Consider the following 22,379-nt stretch of genomic DNA (forward strand, 5'->3'; position numbering starts at 1 on the left):
CAAAACAACAAGTTGGTGATCTGCAAGATTTCATTGAGTTTGGAGCTGACGGAGCCAGATAGCTTTTGGGCAAGAACCAGAGGTCTTTGAGGAGATGCAGGAGGGAAGAGGTTATCACCCAAACCCCAGCTGGGGGCAAGGCTCCCTGACCCCTGTCCTGCCAAGGGAGGGAGTGTGGCATGTGGCCACTCCATGGGGCAGTGGTGCCCCATTGTCTTTGGCTATTGGCAATCCCTGCATAATGGATGGCAACCCTGGGCCTCAGTTTCACTGTCTCTGAACTGAGGTGGGTGAGTTCAATAAGCCCTGCACTTTCCCTGAGATCAGAAGAGGGAAGGCTCTCTTTTCAAGGCTGGAGTTAGCAGCAAAAGAGTAGAGCGGCTTCCTCCTCCGCGCTCTGGGATGGCACATGTTGGGTGAGAAATGTTGGGGGCTTGATTGGGAGCTGCCATGCTCATTGCACACGGCTGCATGCATCAGCTGCGAGGATTCACACCACATCCTCCAGACACCCCCACTGGGAGTTTCTATAGCAACTTTCTGAGAGGAATTTCCAGGGCTTGCAGATTCTGTCATAGTAACCCAGTGAGGGAAGAAAGCTCAGGGTGTGTGAGTAGGGGGCAAAGGATCCGTGTGTGCTGAGGTCCCTGTGAGGCCAGGAGGGCAGAGTGGGTGGGCTCTCGGAACAGCCACAGAGCTGAGCAGTCAGGGGCTATGGTCCAGTCTTCTTCCAGCTCCTTAACAACAGGCAGGTCACAAGTCATCCCTGAAGGTCTCACTTTAGATCATAAAATGTACCTCAAAGATGGTCATGAAGATTAAATGAAAGAGACCTGCAGACTTCTCATTTATCTTTCCTGAGGATTAGGGCAGGACAAGCTGGGAGTGTGATTCCAGTGGCGGGCTGCCTGTGGGTGTCTGTAGAATAGAAATGAAATTATGCAAGCAGATGGCTTGATGAAGAGACAAAAATATGAATATAAAACACTATAGCCATGGAGATGCTAATTTATTTTTACTTTTAATAATGACACAACTTGGGATATCAAAGGTGTCTTCTTGCTTTTAGATATATTCAGCCCTCAAAATAAAATCTTTCAACAGAACACAGCTCCAAATCACACAAAAACATTCTGAATTGGAGGATCAGCATGCCTGCCTGTTAATATGCAAGCACTGAGCATGAGCAGTTTATCCCAACAGTGAATCCACACTGCAGATATACTACACACACAGCATTCTAGGGAATGGAGAAATGAAATGCACAAAGAGCTCTGCCCTTGAATTGGTAGTGACTAGTGAAACAGTCCTTACAAATGTTATACAATTAATCAAGAAAAAAGGGGGGAGAAACAGCTCAGCATTAATCACTAGGTCAGCTTGTTCTCTGACCTGCTTCCTCATAGCTGTTTTCCGTCTGTTGCCCTAGAATCATGTAGATTCTAGATTATAGGTCCCTGTAACTGCTCTGTAGATAACAGCCTGGGCATTGTGAAACATTAAGTTTTCCATCTGAGATATTCTTTCAGGTCTTGCAAACCAATGAAACTACTGACTCAGCTTGTCCGAAGGGCCCCATGAGAAGATGACTCACCAAAGAATGCAGTTTCCCACATCTTAATGATTTCATCCCCTTTACCTGGCCAATCAGTGACCCAATTTTCCAGCCCCTTGCCCTCCACAATGATTCTTTTAAAAATCCCTGTCTAGACCTCCTTGGGGAGATGGATTTGAGGGTCCCTCCCATCTTCTCACTCAGCTATCCTATCAATCATCATTAAGCTCTTTCTCTGCTGCAAACCCTGCTGTCTCAGTGTATTGGTCTGCACATGCACAATGGACTAAGAAACCTGTTGGTCCTGTAACAGTAACAGGGGAGATGAGACAGATTAACCATTGCAGGGATAGCTAGATATATTTAAAGGAATATAGAAATGCCTCTGGTGGCAACATCCAGCTGGGTCTCCAGTGTAGCAGAGCTAAGGCTAAAGCCAGGCTCTGGGGGAGGGTGAATCACAGCAGAAACGTGAAAGTGCAGGAGGGTGCAGATGGGGGTGAAGCTGCAGGCTCATCCCATTCTGCTTATGCCCCTCAAAGCAATCACGAGTAAGCCCCTAACCTGCAGGCCTCGGGTGTTTTCTCTAGCAGACAGTAGAAATACCTCCTCTTTAAGCCCATATGGGGATAATTTACTTCAAGAAGTCATCTCTGTTCCTGGCATACAAAAAAGCACTTAACAGATTATAAGACAAACAATAAAAAAGTAAAAGCCATGCAAGTTGAAAATGAATTTAGAATCCTGCCTTACACTGTGTAGGGACAACAGTATCTGTGAGTGTGGGGGATGATTGGATGACTAGACCACTTTGGGACATTTTTCTAAAAATTCTCTGGTGAAACTTAATTTGTCCACTCACTCTCAGCCACACCATGCACTGCTCTGCCCTAGGACAGCCAGTGGAATGCACTTGGAGCCCTTCCTCAGGACCAATGTTGAGGCAAGCCTTCTTGCTCACAGTCAGGGGTGCTAAGTAAGTGATCCAAGCTTTGCAGAGAGATGTCTTTAGTGTTTTCAGCACAGTGTGGATCATTCATACTGCTAGGCATTAGGGAGGATACAAGAAGATGTGTTCTGCCTTCAGGGAGTTGGGATAGGATCAGAAAAGGAGTGTGTTGAACAGAGGAGCTGCAGAGCTCACATGATCCTGTGGGTGGGACAGACACCGTGGAGGAGGCCAGCCCTGTTGCTGTCCCACCCAGACTCCTTGGAATCCCATTGGTCAGCACTGGGCCTCTCCAAAGCTTACTTTTGTCCCTGATAGCAGGAACCTGTGATGCTTCTTCACATGACTTTCCCCAGGCTACTCTGCTCCTATATTCAGAGGACATCCCCCATGACAACCCTCAGCTTAGGAAGCTTGAAAGGGAGTCTACATGGGATGTTTCTGAGATATAATTTATACCCAGACTTTATCCACGGGGTGCATATCATGGCAGGCATAAGGATGACTGCAATTGGGGTTTGCAGTAGGGGAGAGAGATGGGGCTTATCTCTGAATGCAAAAGGAAACGGGGGAATTTATGGCCAGGGAGCATGGTAGGGATCAGAGGGTAGAAAATTACTAAGAGGTAATCAGGGCTAAGGAGGTTTTTTGTTGTTGTTGTTGTCATTGCTGTTTTTGTTTTGTTTTGTTTTTTTGCTAAAGTGACCTCACAGGATTCTTGCTGAAGCCAGGCCAAGGTGATCAGACATCACCTGAGGGATGGTGGAAGAGGAAGAACCTGATCAGATATCAAGGATGATCAGATATCGACGGTGGCATGTTCTGGCTAAACCAATTAAGAAGGATTCTTGCTAACACTGGACAATGCAAAGATGGACTCAGACATACACACGTCAGAGCCTAGTTGAGAAGAGAATTTAAGAAGCCTGGCTAGAGTTAGGTCACACTCTGAGATCAATCTGAGGCTACTTATTCTGGGACTTTGCTTGAAATTTTACCCTGTTCAGCCCCTTCTCATTCCTTGCCCTGCTTCCTCATCTTGGTTTCTTCTGGTGGCATTTCCACCACAAATAACTCATAGAAATCTTCACCTCAGAGTCTGCTCCTGAGGAATGCAACTTGAGACAGTTGGTATGGAAGTAGTCCTGGGAGCTCATCACCAATGACAGGAGCATGTGAATAGTTGTGGTTTATCTGGGGTAAATAGGGACAAGGTACAATTAGAAAAAGATGCAGTGGCTTGTGCAATAACTCTGGTGTGTAGGACATGTGGTGAAATAGTCACTAGAAGGATGTAAAATTGGTTGATGCTATGGATGTGTTGAGGAAATAACAAACTTAAGTGAGCCAATTACTGATTTAAGGCACAGTGGTAGGTCCAGTTGCAGCTGGCTGGATATGCTGTCTTTACAAGGGTATTCAATGTAGTTTCTAGTATGTGGCATGCAGCTTTTGATCTGGTAGATGCATTTTTTATTAGACTTTAGAGCAATTTTAGTTTCAAAGCAAAATTGAAGGGAAAACACAGAGGTTTCCCACATACTCCCTGCCCATCTATATATAACCTTCTCCACTATTAACATAACCCACCAGAGTGCCAATTGGAGTGAAATATAGAAGCCTCACATTCCTTTTAGTCCCTTTATCTTCTACTGTGTATAACATAGTTGTCTTAAATATTTTCTATAATAGATTTAAAACCACATAAGATAGTGTTATAGAGGGTGTTATAATTTTTGCTTTGGCTGTCAAACATAATTTAGAAAACTCAATAGGAGAAAGAAAATGTATTATATTTATCTATTTTTAAAATTCTTTCCACTGTTCTTTCTCCCTTTCTCATGTTCCCAGTTTCCTCCTTTTATCATTTCTTTCTGTTTAGAGAACTTGGTTTAGCCATCTAATATACTTCGGATATTTGTCCCCACCCAAGTCCCATGTTTAAATGTAATCCCCAATGTTAAAAGTGGGGCCTGGTGGGAAGTGTTTGTATCATGAGGACAGATCCCTCATGAATGACTTGGGCCATCCCCTTGATGATAGATGAGCTCTTGCTCTGAGTTCACATGAGATCTGGTTGTTTAAAAGTTTGTGGCACTCCCCTCAAATCTCTCTCCCTCCTGCTTTTGCCATGTGAAGTGCCTGCTCCCATTTTGCCTTCTGCCATGAGTAAAAGCTTCCCTCCTCAGAAGAATGTTCTAGTATTTTGTTTCCTATATAGCCTGCATGTGATCCAACTAAATCTTTTTGTCTTATAAATTACTGTATTAGCCTGTTTTCACACTGCTGTAAATAATGACCTGAGACTGGATAATTTATAAAGGAAAGAGGTTTAATTAACTCATAGTTCTGTATGTCTGGGAGGCCTCAGGAAACTTACAATCATGGTGGAAGGGGAAGGGGAAGCAAAGCATGTCTTACATGGCAGCAGAAGAGGTGGGGTACTGCCAAACACTTTTAAACCATCAGATCTCATGAGAACACACTCAGTATCACAAGAACAGCATGGGGGAAACCACCCCCATGATACAATCACCTCTCACCAGGTCCCTCCCTCAACACATGGGGATTACGATTCGAGATAAGATTTGAGTGGGGACACAGAGCCAAACTATATCAATTACCCAGTCTCAGGTATTCCTCTGTAGTGATGCAAGAACAGCTTAACAGAAAACTGGTACTGAGGGGTGGGGCATTGCTATAAAGATATCTGAAAATGTGAAAGCAACTTTGAAACTGGGTAATAGGTAGAGGACGGAAGAGTTTGGAGGGCTCAGAAGAAGACAGGAAGATGAGAGAGAATTTAGAACTTCTTAGAGACTGGCTAAATGGTTGCAACCAAGATGCTAATAGAATTATGAACAGTGAAGTCCAGGCTGCAAAGGTCTCAGATGGGAATAAGGAACTTACTGGAAAATGGAGCAAAGGTCATGCATATTATGCCTTAGCAAAGAGCTTGGCTGCATTCTGTTTACATCCTGGGGATCAGTGGAAGTTTGAACTTGAGAATGATGACCTAGGGTATCTGGTGGAAGAAATTTCTAAGCAGCACAGCATTCAAATGTGGCCTGGCTGCTTCTAACAACCTATGCTCAGATGTGGGAGCAAATGAATGACTTAAAATTGCAACTTATATTTAGAAGAGATGCAGAGTATAAAAGTTTGGAAAATCTGCAGCCTGGCCATGTGATAGAGGAAGAAAAAGCTTTTTTAGGACAGGAATTCAAACAGTCTGCAGAACAACACTTACTAGAGATATTTGAATAATCAAAAGGAGGCAAGTGGTAAGCGCTGACAGTCAAGACAATGGAAAAAAGTCCTGGTAGGCATTTAAGAAGTCTCTGGGGCAGCCCCTCCCATCATAGGCTCAGAGGCCTAGGAAGGAAGAATGATTTCATGGGCCAGGACCCCTACTGTCCGCACAGCCTTGGAGCACTGCTCCCTGAATCCTGGCTGCTTTGGCTCCAGCACCAGCTGTGGCTCAAGGAGGCCCAGGTATGGCTCAGGCTGCCATTTTGGAGAATGCAAGCCACAAGCCTTGGTGGCTTCCATGTGGTGTTAAGCCTGCAGGTGCACAGAGTGCAAGAGTGGTGGATTCTTGGAAGCCACCACCTAGATTTCAGAGGATGTATGGAAAAGCCTGAGTGGGCTGGGCATGGTGGCTCACACCTGTAATCCTAGCATTTTGGGAGGGCGAGGCCGATCGATCACGAGGTCAGGAGTTTGAGACCGGCCTGGCCAACATAGTGAAACCCCGTCTCTACTAAAAATACAAAAAAAAATTAGCTGGGCATGGTGATGTGCACCTGTAATCCCAGCTACTTGGGAGGCTGAGGCAGGAGAATCATGTGAACCTAGGAGGTGGAGATTTCAGTGAGCCGAGATCACGGCATTGCACTCCAGCCCAGGGGACAGTGCAGGACTCGGTAAAAAAAAAAAAACAATAAAAGCCTGTGTGTCCAAGCAGAAGCCTGCTATAGGGGTGGAGCCCTCACAGAGAACCTCTACTAGGGCAGTACGGAGGGGAAATGTGGGGTTGGAGGCCTCACACAGAATCCCCACTGCAGCATTGCCTAGTGGAGCTGTGAGAAGGGGACACCATGCTCCAGATCTGAGAATAGTAGATCCACTGACAGTTTGTACCTTGCACCTGGAAAAGCCACAGGCACTCAACAAGCTTTGAGAGCAACCTTGGGGACTGAAACCTGCAAAGCCACAAAAGTAGAGCTGCCCAAGACCTTGGGAGCCCACTCCTTGCACCAGTGTGCCCTGGAGGTGGCACTATTTTGGAGCTTTAAGATTTAATCACTGCCGTGATGGGTTTTGGACCTGCTTGGGGCCTGTAGCTCCTTTCTTTTGGCCAATTTCTCCCTTTTGGAGTGGGAATGTTTACCCAATGCCTATTTACACATTGTATCTTGGAAGTAAATAAATTGCCTTTGATTTTGTGGGCTCATATATGGAAGGGAATTGCCTCATCTCAGGTGAGACTTTGGACTTTAGACTTTTGAATTAGTGCCAGAATGAGTTAAGACTTTGGGGGACTGTTGGGAAGGCATAATTGCATTTTGCAAAGTGAGGACATGGGATTTGTGGAAAGGCCAGGAGTAGAATGATGTAGTTTGGATATTTGTCCCTGCCCAAATCTCATGTTGAAATGTAATCCCCAATGTTGGAGGTGGAGCCTGGTGGGAAGAAGTTTTTGGATCGTGGAGGCAGATCCCTCATGAATAGCTTGAGCCATCCCCTTGGTGATAAGTGAGCTCTCACTCTGAGTTCATATGAGATCTGGTCATTTAAAAGTGTGTGGCCCTCCCAACTCCCTCTCTCACTCCTGCTTTTGCCATGTGAAGTGCCTGCTCCCACTTTGCCTTCTGCCATGAGGCCTCCCCAGAAGCAGATGCCAGCACTGTGTTTCCTGTATATCCTGCATAAATGTGATCCAGTTAAACTGCTTTCTTATAAATTACCCAATCTCAGGTGTTACTTTACAGCAATGCAAGAATGGCCTAAGACAACATCCTTTTAGGGTAAGTTTACTTTTGAAAAATTATCTTAATTTTTCTTCATCTGAGAACATCTTGATTTTCCTCTTATATCAGAAAGCTATTTTCACTGGATATAGAATTCTGAATAAACTATTTCTTTTGTTTGTTTGTTTGTTTTTAGCACTTGAAAAATCTTTTACCATTTCTTTCTGGCCTCCAATATTTCTGATAAGAAATTGACAATAATTCAAATTGTTTTTCTCCTATGGGTAATGTGTTATTTCTCTCTGGCTGCTTTCAATATTTTTTTTCTTTCTTTTTAGTTTTTAGAAGTTTGGCTATGATGCATCTTGATGTGTACTTCTCTGCGTGTCTTGTTTAGGGCTGGCTCAAAGCTACAGTTTGGTTTGTTTGATCCTCCAGAGCTCATTTGAAATCTGATCCCCAGTGTTGCAGGTGGGGCCTAGTGGGGGACTCATGGGGGAAGATCCCTCATGAATGACTTGGTGCCATCCTTGTGGTAGTGAGTGAATTCTCACTCTATTAGTTCCCATGAGAGCTGGTTGTTAAAAGGAGCCTGGCCCCACCCTTTATCTCTTTCTCATTTACTCACTTACCATGTGATCTCTGCACATACAGCTCCCCTTTTTCTTTCACCAGGAATGGAAGCAGCCTGAGAGTCTCACCAGGAGCAGATGCTGATGGCATGCTTCTTCTACAGCCTGCAGAACCATGAGCCAAATAGATCCCTTTTTCTTTATAAATCACCAAGCCTTCCATATTTCTTTATGGCAACACAGACTAAGACATGTACCTTCTTGAATCCTTTGGTTTATGGAAATTCTCAGCCATAATTCTTTGTGTTTTCAGCTTTCTCATATTCCTGCTCTTCTTTCAGGACTGTGATGACACACTCTTAGATTTTTGTTATAGTCCCACAAGTCCATGAGGCTATACTCATTTTTTAATAGTCTGTTTTCTCTGTCATTCAGGTAATTTCCATTGTTCCACCTTCAAGTTCACTGATTCTTTCCTCTATCTACTTGTACTTGCTGTTGAGTCCATCCATTGATTTTTCTAAATTTTGTCTATTTTAGTTTTGTGTTCTAAAATTTCCATTTGGTTTTCCTTTCTATCTTTTACTTTTTTGCTAAGGCTTTCTAATTCTTTTTTCTTTTGTCCCATTGTATTGTAATTGCTCAGTGAAGAATATTTATTATGCCTGCATTAAAACTTTTTTTTTTTTTTTGAGATGGAGTCTCGCTGTGTCATCCAGGCTGGAATGCAAATGGTGCAATCTTGGCTCACTGTAACCTCCGCCTCCTGGATTCAAGTGATTATCCTGCCTCAGCTTCCCTAGTAGCTGGGATTACAGGCATGCGCCACCACGCCTGGCTAATTTTTGTATTTTTAGTAGAGACAGGGTTTCATCTTCTTGGCCAGGTTGGTCTTGAACTCCTGACCTCAAGTAATCCACCCACCTCAGCCTCCCAAAGTGCTGGGATTACAGATGTGAGCCACCATGCCCAGCCTCTGCATTAAAATTTTGTCAGATAATCCTAACATCTCTGTCATCCAACTGTTGGTATTTACTGATTTTTTAAAACTCAAGTTTATGTTTTCCTGATTCTTGCATATAACTAGGGACTATTTTTATTGAAAACTGGATATGTGCAGTATTATGATAGTCTTGGTATTATTTAGGTCTTCTCTTTCAGATGGTTGCTTCTGACATCACTCTGGTGGAGGAAGTTAGACCTTTGCCTTGCAGCAGCTGGTGGATGTAGAAGTCCAGGTCCCTCACTCAACCTCCATGAACACCCAAGAGACTCCCCATTACTGCTGAGTGGAGTGGGGTTTCTGACTCTCTGACAGGCCTCCACTAAAATCACCCTGGCTGGTCAGAATAAGAATGCCTCTCATTCCCCACATGACCTGTGCCGACACCACCGAGAAGTGGCTTTATGATGCCCAGGTGGTAATGAAAGTTTTGGCTCCCAAGCAAGTCTCTTTTACATCACCTTAGGGTGGAGGAAGGGCACCTCCTCACTGTCAGAGGAGAGTGGAAGTTCAGACTTCCCATGGGGCCTCCATGGGGCCTCCACTGACACCACAAAGGGAGAGGGACTATCGCCTCCTGGAGATGAAAATTCCAGCTCTTGACTTGACTATCTCTGATACCACCCTGATGTTGGGGAGGAGGATTGGGGCACCTGATTGCAGCTTGGTGAGAGTAGATCTGTAGGCTCCCTGCCACCCCTCACTAGTGTGGATATGGGTGAGGCCACAGTTTCTTTTGTGGTGTATGGTGGAAGTTGAATAATGACTGTTTTAACATTTTCTACCTTGCTAGGTTGAACCTTTCCTGACCTTTAACTAAAGAGAGAAGTCTTTTGTTGTGTTGTGTTGTTTGCTTGTTTTCTTGTTTGTTTGTTTTTCTTTTTTCCCCCTTTTCACCCATGGTCTGTGAGTTGTCAGCTTCTCTAGCTTTAAGCCTTGGATATGTGAAATGGAAAGAAATCCCAGAGAACATATCGCCATGTGTTCTTTTGGTCCTGGGGTTTCTAATATGTCTGTTGCTTTCCACCTTTCAGAGCCAGGGATTTTAGTTGGACTTAGTCGGAGGAATTGGGAAAAGTACATCGATTCCACTTTCCCAGAGGTGGAAGTCCCAAGCACATCTTTATGAAATATTTTATCTAGCTTTTATAATTATGTTTAAGGGTATTGATCAGAATTACATAGTCTACTTGCAACCATTGCTGTTTTCACATAGCTTCATATTTTTGTCTTTTTTATCATTTTAGAAATATGGGATGGAAGAAGGAGTATAGCATTTGGCCAGTAACCTTTTAAAGGAAGCCTTTGTTAAGCACATGCTGAATGGCAGTGAAGTCCAACAGTGACAAGGGAAAAAACCACTGCAGCCAGGGATATGCAGTCTAGGGAGTGGCTACTGCCCACAGTTAGGGTAACAATGGAAAATGCTAACTTCTTTCTGAGCAGCTTTCACTCAGAAATGACACCCAACCAATTCTTGTGGGCAAGAAAGATTTTCTCAGGTTTATTAGTCGTAGATCTCCAGAGAAACAGAACCAATAGGAGATATCTATATCTCTATATTAATATATCTGTAGGTATACATATATCTCTATATCTATGTCTCCCTCTATCTACCTATCGATGTATTGTAAGGAATTGACTCACATGATTATGGAGGCTGAGAAGTCCCCGGATCTGCAGTTGACAAGGTGGAGACCCAGGAGAGCCAATAATATAGCTCCAATTTGAGTCTGAAGGCCTGAGAACCAATGGCGGGCCAATGACGTAAGTTCTAATCTGAAAGCCAGCAGGTTTGAAATCCAAAAAGTCAATGTCTCAGTTCAAGTCTAGTTGATGGCCAATTGATTATTTTATGAAATCATGATGAGAAACCAATGGAGAAAGGCATCTATAATCAATTGTAGACCAAGGTGGCATAGAACAGTGGAGAAAGAATATGAAATGCTGACTCATTTAATATTCATGTGGAAAAAATTAATCTTTACCATCACCTCACATTGTACAGAAAAGTCAATCTCAAACGGACTTAGACCTAATTGTGAAAGGTAAGATAATAAGGCTTCTAAAGTAGCACAGAGTATATTCCTGACTCTACGGTGAGCAAATCTTTCTTTAAAAAGACACCACAAAGGAAACTACTTTAAAATTTTACTTTATTAAAACCAAGAATTTCTATTCCATAAAAACAAAACTATATGAGGCAGAAAAAAACGGCATATGAGAAGATGTTTGCAATACACACCTGAGAAGAACCTAAAAATTCTAAAGCACTTTTACAGATTAATCAGAAAAAAAAAACCAACCCAATTTAAAAAATAGGCAATTGTCTTGAATATTTTATTTTTAAAAAATTTCATCCAAGTGCCCTCAAAACATATGAAAAGGTCATCAGTGTTATATAGTCATCAGGGAAATTCAAACTGAAACCAGCAGCTACCATTCCGTCCTCCATTCCCAAGTGGTCCAGTGTTAATGAGATTAAGGAGCAACAGAAACTCTCATACATGCATTTGGGAATATTACTCTTTGGCAGTGTCCACTAGACTTGACAAGGTAATAACATTTGTAGGTATATATACCCCATGCAAATGCACTAAAAGATGTTTATACAAATGCTAATAGCAGCATTATTCATAATAACCCCAAACTGGAAACAAGCCAAATATTTATCAATGGTAGGATAAGTAAATATGTTCTGACAAAATCACAATAAAATACTTTAAATCCCTGAAAAATAATAAACAACTTCAGTGTACAACTACATGGATGAATCTCCCAAGCCTAATGTTTGTCACAAAATGCCAGACGCAAGAGTATGATGTATATAATTCTATTTATGTAAGGTTCAAAATAGATAGGAGTAATCTATGTCGATAGATGTTATAGCAGTGGATACCATTTTTAGGATGGGTTTGACACGGGATGAGGGTGCCAGAAGGGCTCCTGAAGTGTTGGTAATGTTTTATTTCTATAAATGGGTGTTGATTACATGAATATATTCAGTTTGTGAACATTATTTGAGGTAAAATAGAATTTGTATGCCTTTCCGCATGTATGTTATTCTGCAATAAAAATTTATTTAAAATGTTTTGTATTCTTATTTTTTCAAGTACAAAAATTGTATGAATTGCATATTAAAAGCTCTCTTCCCCACCTCCCCGCCTACCACACATCATGCCCTAGAAAATGCCAACTCTTTGCAGGATTCAAAGAAATACAGTGGTGGTTCTGGATTCACAGTTCAGCTTTCTTCTGGTGCTTGCACTTCCACTAGAGGATACAGGGATACTCCACATTTAAACATGAAATAAAGAACCCAGTGAGGCTGGGGAATTGCCAGAGAAGTGTTCGTCAGTGACTTACAGGGTGGTATTTACCTCAACACACTTATTTCGGAATCTCAAAACCTCACAGGTAAATGTTTACCCTCAAGGCTTTAATAAGCGTTGTTGTTGTTGTTGTTGTTGTTGTTGTTAAGATCAATATCTTTTTGGTTGCTATTTTAATGGAATATTTAAAAATTCTATTTCTGGTTCTGCTTGATTTGGTAATTTAAAAGAATCATTTTAGTTTTTTAAAAAGAATTATATATTTTTTAATGCACAAAAGTAATACAAGGTAATTGTAATAAATCAAAATATAAAAGTACATAAAGAAGCTAATAATTCCCCTTTGTTTCCTTTCCCACTCCTGTATGTAATGATTCAAACTATTTTCTATTTTCAAACAACTAAATATGAATATACATGGATAGCCTGCTCCCTTATTTTTTTCACAAATGGAATTAAATCAACTGTATTATACTTCCATTTGCTTTTTAATCTTTTCAATAGCTGCATAATATTCCATAATGTGACAGATTAAAGAATGCCACAAATCATTTGTGGATCCTTCCATTGAGAGGCCTAATGCCCTGATCCTTAAATCTGGGTTGAACTTGATGACTTGCCTAACCGATAGAATGAGGCAGAAGTCATGCTGCCTGAAGCTTCTGCCTTGATCTCTGGAACTCAGGTGTCATGCTGTGAGGAGGTGCAAAAGTTCCATGGAAATGCATATGGAGAAGATCCAAAGCTCCCAGGTACAGCCCTGGCTAAGCACCCAGAAAAGAGTCAGCACCAATTTGCCAGCCCTATAAATGAACTTGGTTTTCATGTTAGTGAAATAAGTTTTCAAGCTGAATCCTCTAGCCACAGAAGAGCTGCCCCCATTGATGTTGCACAGAGCAGGGATAAGCTGTTCCTGTCATGTCCCACTCAAATAGCAAATTCTGAGCAAAATACACTGCCATTATTGTATTAAGTTGGTAGATTTAGGGACGTTTGTTATACATCCATACATAACCAGAATACATAGAATCAGAACAGCTTAATTTACTCATTATTAACTATTACACTACATATAAACAGATTTTTTTCCTCCAACTTCTAATAGCTTGCAACAAACATCTTTGTGTACTTCTAATTTTTGCCATTTAAATAATACTGCATTGCCGCATTGTCGATTTACTTCATTTGATGCTTTTATTTTATGCTGTTAGTTTTTCTTCATATGTCTTATGACTTTTGTTTTGTGGTATGTAATTTATAGAAAAGACATAATATTTGGGGTGTTTCTAAGCTTTTAGGCTTGCCCTGCTTCTCTGCCAATCACTCATTCTATTTTTTTGGATGCGTTTTACTAGTGACAGATGCTGACTCCTTTTCTCACACATTAAGGAAAAACACTTATTTGATTTTTTAAAAAATCAACAGGATGAGTCATGATACTCTTTAAAATCTAATCTTTGAGAACTCCTCTATCTGCCATCTTGCTACATCAGTCTCTTGTTTGTTTCAGGAAAACTAGTGCAAGCAGCAAAGATAATGCTCCCTTGAAAATGCTTCCTGAAACCACAAAATATGGGTCCTTTGTAATTTATTCAGAATTTATTTGAACAAGGAAACCATGGTATTGGTATTTTTTTTACTGTCCACTGAGAAAAACAGTGTTTTTACAAGTTTTTCTTTCTCCTCATCATCGTTAACATGATTTCAAAGCACAAGGCTGGAAGTGCTGCGCAGTTAGTCTAATTTCAACAAAATATGCTTGCTGCTTTCAGACCTAGCACATCAGAGCTGATTTGATGCTTGATGTAGCATTGCAGCATCTTTGTGCTAGTTTCTTTCAAGCTCCATGTGAACTAATGTAACAATTCCCCTTGAAATCATTTGATTCCTATTATTTTGGTATATTAAACATGAAAATAACAGTTCAGCTTTCTTCTGGTGCTTGCACTTCCTCTAGAGGATACAGGGAGGGACTCCACATTTAAACATGAAATAAAGAATCCAGTGAGGCTGGGGAGTTGCCAGGGAAGGGAAACTGCTCGTCATCGACTTACAAGGTGGTATTTACCTCAACACACCACTTTACAAAACCTGAGTCTCACCTTGGCGAGATTTTCATCAGCAAATGGGGAACGTGGCCATCTCTCTGTGATGATTTGCCAATCGAGGTACGAGGGAGCACAAGTAAAAGTTGAATGTCAACTTGCTCATTTATAATGACTGATGAGAAACATAAATATATTTACAAGTTCTCTCATTTCCTATATAAAAATCTTCACTGAAATGTAATGCCTAGGGCAACCACTTAATAGTTTATACGAAGAAATCCACTCAAAACACTATAGAAAAATCAAACTAGAATTGTAAAAAACGTTCAAACAACCCACAGGAGGCAGAAAGAAGAAAACAGTAAAACAAAAAACTCGGAGGAAACAAACAGAAAACAAACAAACCTGCACGTTGTGCACATGTACCCTAAAACTTAAAGTATAATAATAATAAAATAAATAAAATGACAGATTTATTTCCTAATGTATATGTAATCACATTAAATATAAGTTGTCTGAATACACCAATTAAAAGACAGAAATTGACAGAGTGAATTATAAAATGAGCTAACTATATGCCAGCTACAAGAAACTCACTTTCAATCTAATAATATGGTTAGGTTGAAAGAAAAGATCGAAAAACTATATTACATATAAACATTAATCAAAGTAAAGTTGAAGTGTATATGTTATCCTAGAGGACAGACTTCAGAGTGAAGTAACAGAAAGGAACATTTCCTAATGGTAAAAGGATCAGTCCCTGAAGAAATCATAGCAATCCTAAACATGTATGCACCCAACAATGGAGCTGCAACATATGTGAATAGAAAACTGATAGAAAATTGAAAGGAGAAATAAACAAAATTTTAATGGGAGACTTCAACACTCCTCTCTCAACAATTTATAGAACAATACCATTAGCTGACAGGATCTAAACATTTAGAGAACAATTCACCCAACAACAGTAGAATCCGCATGTTTTTCAAGCCCTCACACAACGTTTACCAACTTAGACTGTATTCTGAGCCATTAAATGAACCACAGCAGATATAAAATAATAAAACTCGTACAGAGTTGGTTCTGTGGCCATCATGGACTCAAGCTACCAAGCAATAACAGAAAGATAACAGGAAAATCTCCAAACATTTGAAAACTACAAAATGTGCTTCTAAATAATCTGTGACTCAAAGAGGAAGTATTTTAAATTTAAAAATAGCTTGAACTGATTGACAATATAACATAGAAACATTTATGGGATGGAGTAGACATATGTTTCCCTATTCCTCCTACTTAGTGCAGCGAAAGCCCCTTAACATTATATACAAAACAAGACAACTCTGAAAGGTGGAGAAAGGAGGGCAGATCAGTCAGGGCTTTGTGTCCTGAAGAATGACATGATAGTGCGTTTCTTTGCTCTTCTTAGTGCCTTATATATCTCGCACTGAGTGCTGCAGAAACCTGAAAATGCCAATAGGAAAATACAGACTCCCTTATCCCCCAGAAAACAAACAAACAAACAAACACAAAAAAACCCTGCTTTCTGCAGCCACAGAACAAGAAAAGGGGCAGCCAAGCAAGACAGAACATTTTTAGACAATAACCACACTCCTCTTCAGCCAAACTCCATGGAAATAACCACTGCCCCAGCCCCACCCCAGTAGCAAAGGCCACCTGGCGAGCTTAGACTATCACCCTTGCCAAACTGTAGCAACTGCTCCTCCACGCTGTGGTGATGTCAGAGAAGGCCAAGTGGGAGGTCAGGACTTCCATTGCTGACCAGTGCTAGTGAGGCCCCATCTCTGGCCGTGCCAGTGGGGACCAGTGGGGAGCTGTGGCCACGCTCCCTGCCTTTCATGGAACTCTTACCCCTGCCCAGCAGTGATGAGAAGCCCCTCCTCTTGGGGGCCAATGGAGCCCAAGCGGGGATCTGAAGTTTGACCCCCACCTTGCAGTAATAGGTGAAACCCTCTCTACCCATTCCTTCCTTCAGAGGAAGCCTGCTAAAACAAAAAATTTAAATAAGGTTTGGTCTCATAATACCTCAGATGTGCAGATATCATTGACAATCCCTCATCATACCAAGAACTAGCAAAATCTCAAATGGAATGAGTAAAAGTGATCAATGGACACCAATAAAGAAGTAGCACCGATGTTAGGATTTTCCAACAAGGATCCTAAGGCAGCCATCACAAAAATGCTTTTACTAAAAATTTTTTAAAAGAGAGAAAAAAGGCATAAATTACCAATATCAAGAATGAAACGGGATATCAATATAGACCATGCAGATGGCTTAAGGATAATAAGGGAATATTGTGAACAACCCTACACACATAAACTTGACAATTTAGTTTAAATGGACCAATTTCTCAAAAAACACAATTACTATAATTCAGTAAACATGAAAGAGAGAATTTGAATAATCCTATTATTAAGAAAATTTAATTTGTAATTTTAACCCCCCCCCAAAAAATAAATCTTTAGAACCAGATGATTTTACTGTGAAATTTCCGAATTAACATTAACTCTAAAAAGTATCTTCCATAAATTAGAAGAGGAGGAAGCACTTCCCAACTTATTTTACAAGATCAGTATTACCTGATACCAAATCTAGACAATGATAGTACAAAAAGAGAAAAAAATACAGATCAATATCTCTCAAGAGTATAAACACAGGCCGGGCGCGGTGGCTCATGTTTGTAATCCCAGCACTTTGGGAGGCCGAGATGGGCGGATCACGAGGTCAGGAGATCGAGACCATCCTGGCTAACTCGGTGAAACCCCGTCTCTGCTAAAAATACAAAAAAGTAGCTGGGCATGGTGGCGGGCAACTGTAGTCCCAGCTACTCGGGAGGCTGAGGCAGGAGAATGGCGTGAACCCGGGAGGCGGAGCTTGCAGTGAGCCGAGATCGCGCCACTGTACTCCAGCCTGGGTGACAGAGCAAGACTCCATATCAAAAAAAAAAAAAAAAAAGTATAAACACAAATGTCCTCATAAAATATTAGCAATCAAATCCATCAATGTACAGAAAGCAGTGGAGTTTGTGTCAGGGGTGCAAGGCTGATTCAATCATTAAAATCAATCAATATAATGTGCCATATTAACAGGCTAACAAGGAAAAAAATTACAAGTTTATATCAAATGATGCAGAAAAAAATTTGACAACTAACATTCATGACAAAAACTCTCAGCAATCTAGAAAAAGAGGGAACTTAGACAATTTGATATAAAATAAAGATAAACAGTAGACAAAATAAAAATATGACCCTTGTAATCACCTATTGAGGTGAAAGCTACCATGGTCTGGATTTTACTAATGGGGGTTTTGGTGTGGCAAGGAGACAAGAGGTAGCCTCCGGAATTTACTCAGCTCTTAAGTGAACAGGTAGGGACTTGAACCTGGTTGTTTGGCTCCAAGTAAGAAATAGAGTCCAGGTGGTCTGGCTCCGTAGCCTGGGATGGTGACCACCCTGCTGTGCTGTTGCTTACCCTCCAGAGCTCCCCACCTCCCCCAGCAGGTCCTAGACCTGGACAACAACCTGGTTTCTTGAAGGAGGTGATACCCATAGTACATAAACAGTGTTGGAACAGAGAGACAACATGGAGAACCTTCATCCCTCATTCAATGATAGGGTGGGGGTCTGGGGACAGCCTAGGCATGGGCAGACACATTTTCTGTGGCAGACGGAGGAGGCTGGGAGCTGGGCATTGCTCATGGCATCCGTGCAGCTTCAAAGTGCTCACCGTCTGCACCCTCACCCTCACCACCGCCTGCTGGCCACTCAGCAGCCCTGGAGGCAGACACTCCTTTGACCCTGTTTGACAGGTGATGACGCTGAGTTCCAGCGATGTTGAGCCTCAAGGTCAAGTTACCCAACTCCAGGAAGAGGTGGGCTTGGGTGGGGGCAGCTGGACTCCCCAGCTGCACTGGAAATTCTATGCCACATTGCCAGGAATGATAAATAACTCCTTCTGCATTAGGAAACAAGCAGGACTTCCTCAAGACAGACAAATGATTGAATATATAGAATTGTCCAGAATCACACCCCTCTTAAATGGATATGCTCAGACACACGAGTGGGACTGGAAGTGGAGGCCGGGTGAGGAGACGTTGGCTTTGCAGTCAATACACTTCTGTTTTGTTTTTTTTTTCCAACAAATGTATTCATGTGTTGCACAATTTTTAAAAAAGGTAAAAAGAGATGGTGCTATGTATATAATAGAGCTGTTATAAAAGTTTAAATTAAGTTATATAATAGTCGCAGTATCTGGGACATAGTAGGTGCTCAAAATAAACATTATTTTGCAAAGCGTCTTAGTCTGTTTGGGTTTCTATAACCAAAATACCATAGACTGGGAGACTTAACAGAAATGTATTCCTCACAGTTCTGGAGGCTGAGAAGTCCAAGATCGAGGCACTGACACATCTGGTGTCTGGTGAGGACCCACTTACTGTTTCATTGATGGCACCTTCTCCCTGTGTCCTCACATACTGGAGGAGGTTGCTGACTCCCTGGGGCCCCTTATATAAGGGCAGTAATCCCATTCATGAGAAACATTCAGACCACAGCATACATTTAAAATGCTTTACAGAAGCAGATCAAGTGAGACGATGATGGGCTCTCAGAGACCCATGCTCTTCTACAATCTATCTGCAAAGAAGACCTGGCTGGAGGTGGAGAGTATAAAAGCCAATCAGGACTACAGCGAATCAGGACGGTCTCTGATTAAAGGTGTTAACGACGTGACCTAGCCCTGGCTGGATGCAGTTCAGGGCCTCCCTGGGTCTTGGTTGCAGCCTTCATGAATATAACAGCCCCCCACACCACGCAGAGCAGGTTTTGTTCACTCAAGCCATGCAAGAGGCATGGGCTCAGCGTGCAGCTCTGTCTTCTCCAGCAATCTGTCCGGTTTCTGTCTCTTCAGCTCCAGCCACCTCCATGCGCTGCATGGAGCCCCTCCCTGCACTGGGTCCCAGAAGTTCTGCTTGTTTTCAGCGATCACACTCCCGCACTGTCTGTGGCTCAAAGTCTGTAAATAATGGTTTAGCATATTTCATCCACTTTTCTACCTGGACAGAAAGTGTAGTGTTGTTAGTTGGTCAGAGCAGGAGGTGGTTCTGTGTGTTTTGTCAGCCTTCCAGATGTCCCCAAGCAGCAAGAGAAGGAAGGGGCTGTGCACAGCCTTTGCCTGGGGCTTCCTATGTCCATCGGAAAGAGAGTGGATCGCATAAGCTCTCACAGAAAGAATGAATGAGCGAGTCAGTTGCTTCCCTGAATGGCTTTGTTCTGTTCTGGTGCATCCTCTGCTTGGGACCCACCTGCTAGGGCGTGGTAGAGTGAACAGCTACGTGTCTTTGTTCAGCACCTGCTTAGTGCCAGGACCTTTCTCTCTGCTTGGGAAATTGCCGTCTTTGTTTCACAGAGGATGAAGCTGAGGTTCGTAGGCTGAATTCTGGTGGCCCAGTTTTCCGGCCTGGGCTCCTTCCACTTGTAGAGTGGCCTATCTCAGTGCTGCCTATGCCGTTGGGAGGGGTGGTGGCAAAGGCAGACCAAGAGTCACCAGGCAATTTCTTAGGAGCCTGAAGTCTGCAATCCTCCAGTGAAGCTTTTCAGATGAATGTCCTTCACACCCCAAGAATTCTAGAAATGCTGAGCCCCTAGCCTGGAGGGCAGGCTTGGTGCCTGCAACAGAGCATGGGCCCAGCGACCCCTATGGTCTGAGAGAGAGGGTGAGGTGGGAGGACCATCCACTCTGGGAGACTTGGGCTGGCCTTGCAGACTGAAACCTCTCCTGTAAAGTGATGTGTGTCCTGGACCTGCAGGGAGGGAGGGGCCTCTGGAAGTCAGGCCGATTGCCAGGGTCTGTGAGGCATCTTCTGAAGCCCAGGCCCTGTCTGGCTTTTTCTTGCCAGGAGTCTGGCTCTCTTGCTCCACATGAATGACTGAAGTTATTTGAAGAGGTCCCCCAGAGAGTCATCAGGCCTCTGGTGGAATTGCAGGGGCTCAGGGAAGGCACAGAGATAGGGCTGTAATGCCCGGGGAGGGAGCGGCCCAAGGCCTGCCCCAGACCACTGCAAGCCTGGGTGCTTGGAGAGGAGACGGCCATTAGCATGGCTGTTAAGAGCCGCTGCTGGGGGCACTGGCAAGGGACCTGTTCAACAGCTTCACCCACTGGGCCATGCACCTGACAAGCATTCACCAACCACTCTTTCTGTCTTACAGGAAAGTGATGGGGGTGGGGAGCAAGGTTGCTTTGGCCTGAGGTCAAACCATCAAGATCTGCATATGTCTACAGTTATTGATCCTTCTATTAGGTAAAGAAAAGAATTGTATAAAAACCATTCAGAGCTGCTGAAGATGTTGTTACACTTGCCAGATCTGGGAACTGCGATTTTCCTTTGCAGCTTCAACAAGAGAAGAAATCTCACAGGGGAGGAAGGGGTCGCTGAGCGTCCTCGGCCCATGGATACCTTACTTTGTGGCGCCACCTAACGGCTAAAGGTTAAAATTGCAAATCTTAAAGATTCCTCCGGCAGAGGAAGAGGTGGGAAGGGGCCGGGTTTTTGAAGAGCAGGCTGAGAGAGCTTTTTTGGGAGATTTGTTTCCTGCTTTCTGGGCACATGCACCTAATGACGATACAATCCTACGACCCATCTCTGATTCTTCCCCTGACCCACTCTGGTGTAGCCCTGCGGAGATAATTGGCAATTGCAAAGTCACCTGCCTTTGACTTCTGACCCAGTAACCCAGGAAACCTTGCCAAAGATACTCTAGCAAGAAATACGAGTCGGGTTTACACGTGCCACACCCTACGGAATTTTTTGTTATCGTAAGAGACTCAGAGCGATTCACATGTGCATCAGAGAGGGCACTGATGGAAGCAAACCTCGTGCATCCCACAGAGTTACAGCCAGCAGCGCTCAGGCTGTGTGGCTGCCGCAAGTGCCCCTGAGCCCCCTGAGCCCCAGTGGCTGGCGACAGCCCCGCTCCATGTCGCCTTCATCCAAGATCTGCGCCGCGGGGCGGCCGCCATCTGGAGCACGGCTGGCCACGGTCAGCCCTAAGCTGGTGGGTGACACTGCGTCTGCGCACACTTCGTTGCTCAAAGCCAACTGTATGTGCTGACTGGGTGTGCCTTCTAGTGTCCTGTGTTCCTGCTGAGTGCCTAGCATGCATACTTCCTTTGTGCGCCCAGTGTTGTGTGCCTGTCACTGTGTGTCCAGTATTGAGTTATGTGCATGGTGTTATGCACCAGGCATGGTGTGTCTGACTTTGTTTGCCCAGTGTCGCGTAGCCAGCATCTGTGTCCAGCCTGTGTTCTTGCCATGTGCCTGGCCCTGCATGCCTAGTGTGGCACCTGGCTGTGCATACTCCGCATTGTATGCCGGGTTTGTTTGCTCCCGTCTGTGAGCCTTGCAGTGTAATCCTGGAGCGTATGCCCTGTGTTGTTTGCCAACTGTGTGTGCAGGTACTGTGTGTACCTGGCGCTGTGTTCCTGCTTGTTTGTGCCTAGTGGGCATGCCCAGTATTGCATGCCTGGTGTTGTGTACCTGGTCCTGTGTGCCCAGTATTGAGATCCCAGAGTGTCTGCCCGGCCTGGGTGCCTGCGTTGTGTGTCCGGCCCTGTGTGCTCAGGTTTGTGCATCCAGCTTGGTGGGCCCAGAGTGTGCCTGGCATACGGGCTTAGTGCTTTCTCCCTGGCATTTTGTGCCTGGCATGTTTGCCCAGCACTGTGTGCCCTGCATGGTGTCCCAGAGGCTGCGCCTACTATGGTGTGTCTGGCTTTGTGTGTCTGGCATTGCATGCTCATTGTTGTATACTTACTGTGTGTGTCCAGCATGGGGCGCCTGCATTGTTTTCCTGGCCCTGTGGTTCCAGAGTTCTGTTTCTGCACTGCATGCCTGGTGTTGTGTGGGTGGAATTACATGGCTGGTGTGTACATGGCTG

General features: G+C 43.4%; 1 annotated feature.

Moving 5' to 3' along the window:
- Positions 21,601–22,283: an enhancer, noted in NCBI's record as "H3K27ac-H3K4me1 hESC enhancer chr15:32267901-32268583 (GRCh37/hg19 assembly coordinates)". NCBI's record gives its function as "activates a minimal SCP1, AML or CMV promoter by ChIP-STARR-seq in primed H9 embryonic stem cells {active_cell/tissue: H9 hESC(primed)}" and the evidence as "EXISTENCE:reporter gene assay evidence [ECO:0000049][PMID:30033119]".

Source organism: Homo sapiens, chromosome 15, assembly GCF_000001405.40.
Source record: "Homo sapiens chromosome 15, GRCh38.p14 Primary Assembly".
NCBI classification, from domain to species: domain Eukaryota; kingdom Metazoa; phylum Chordata; class Mammalia; order Primates; family Hominidae; genus Homo; species Homo sapiens.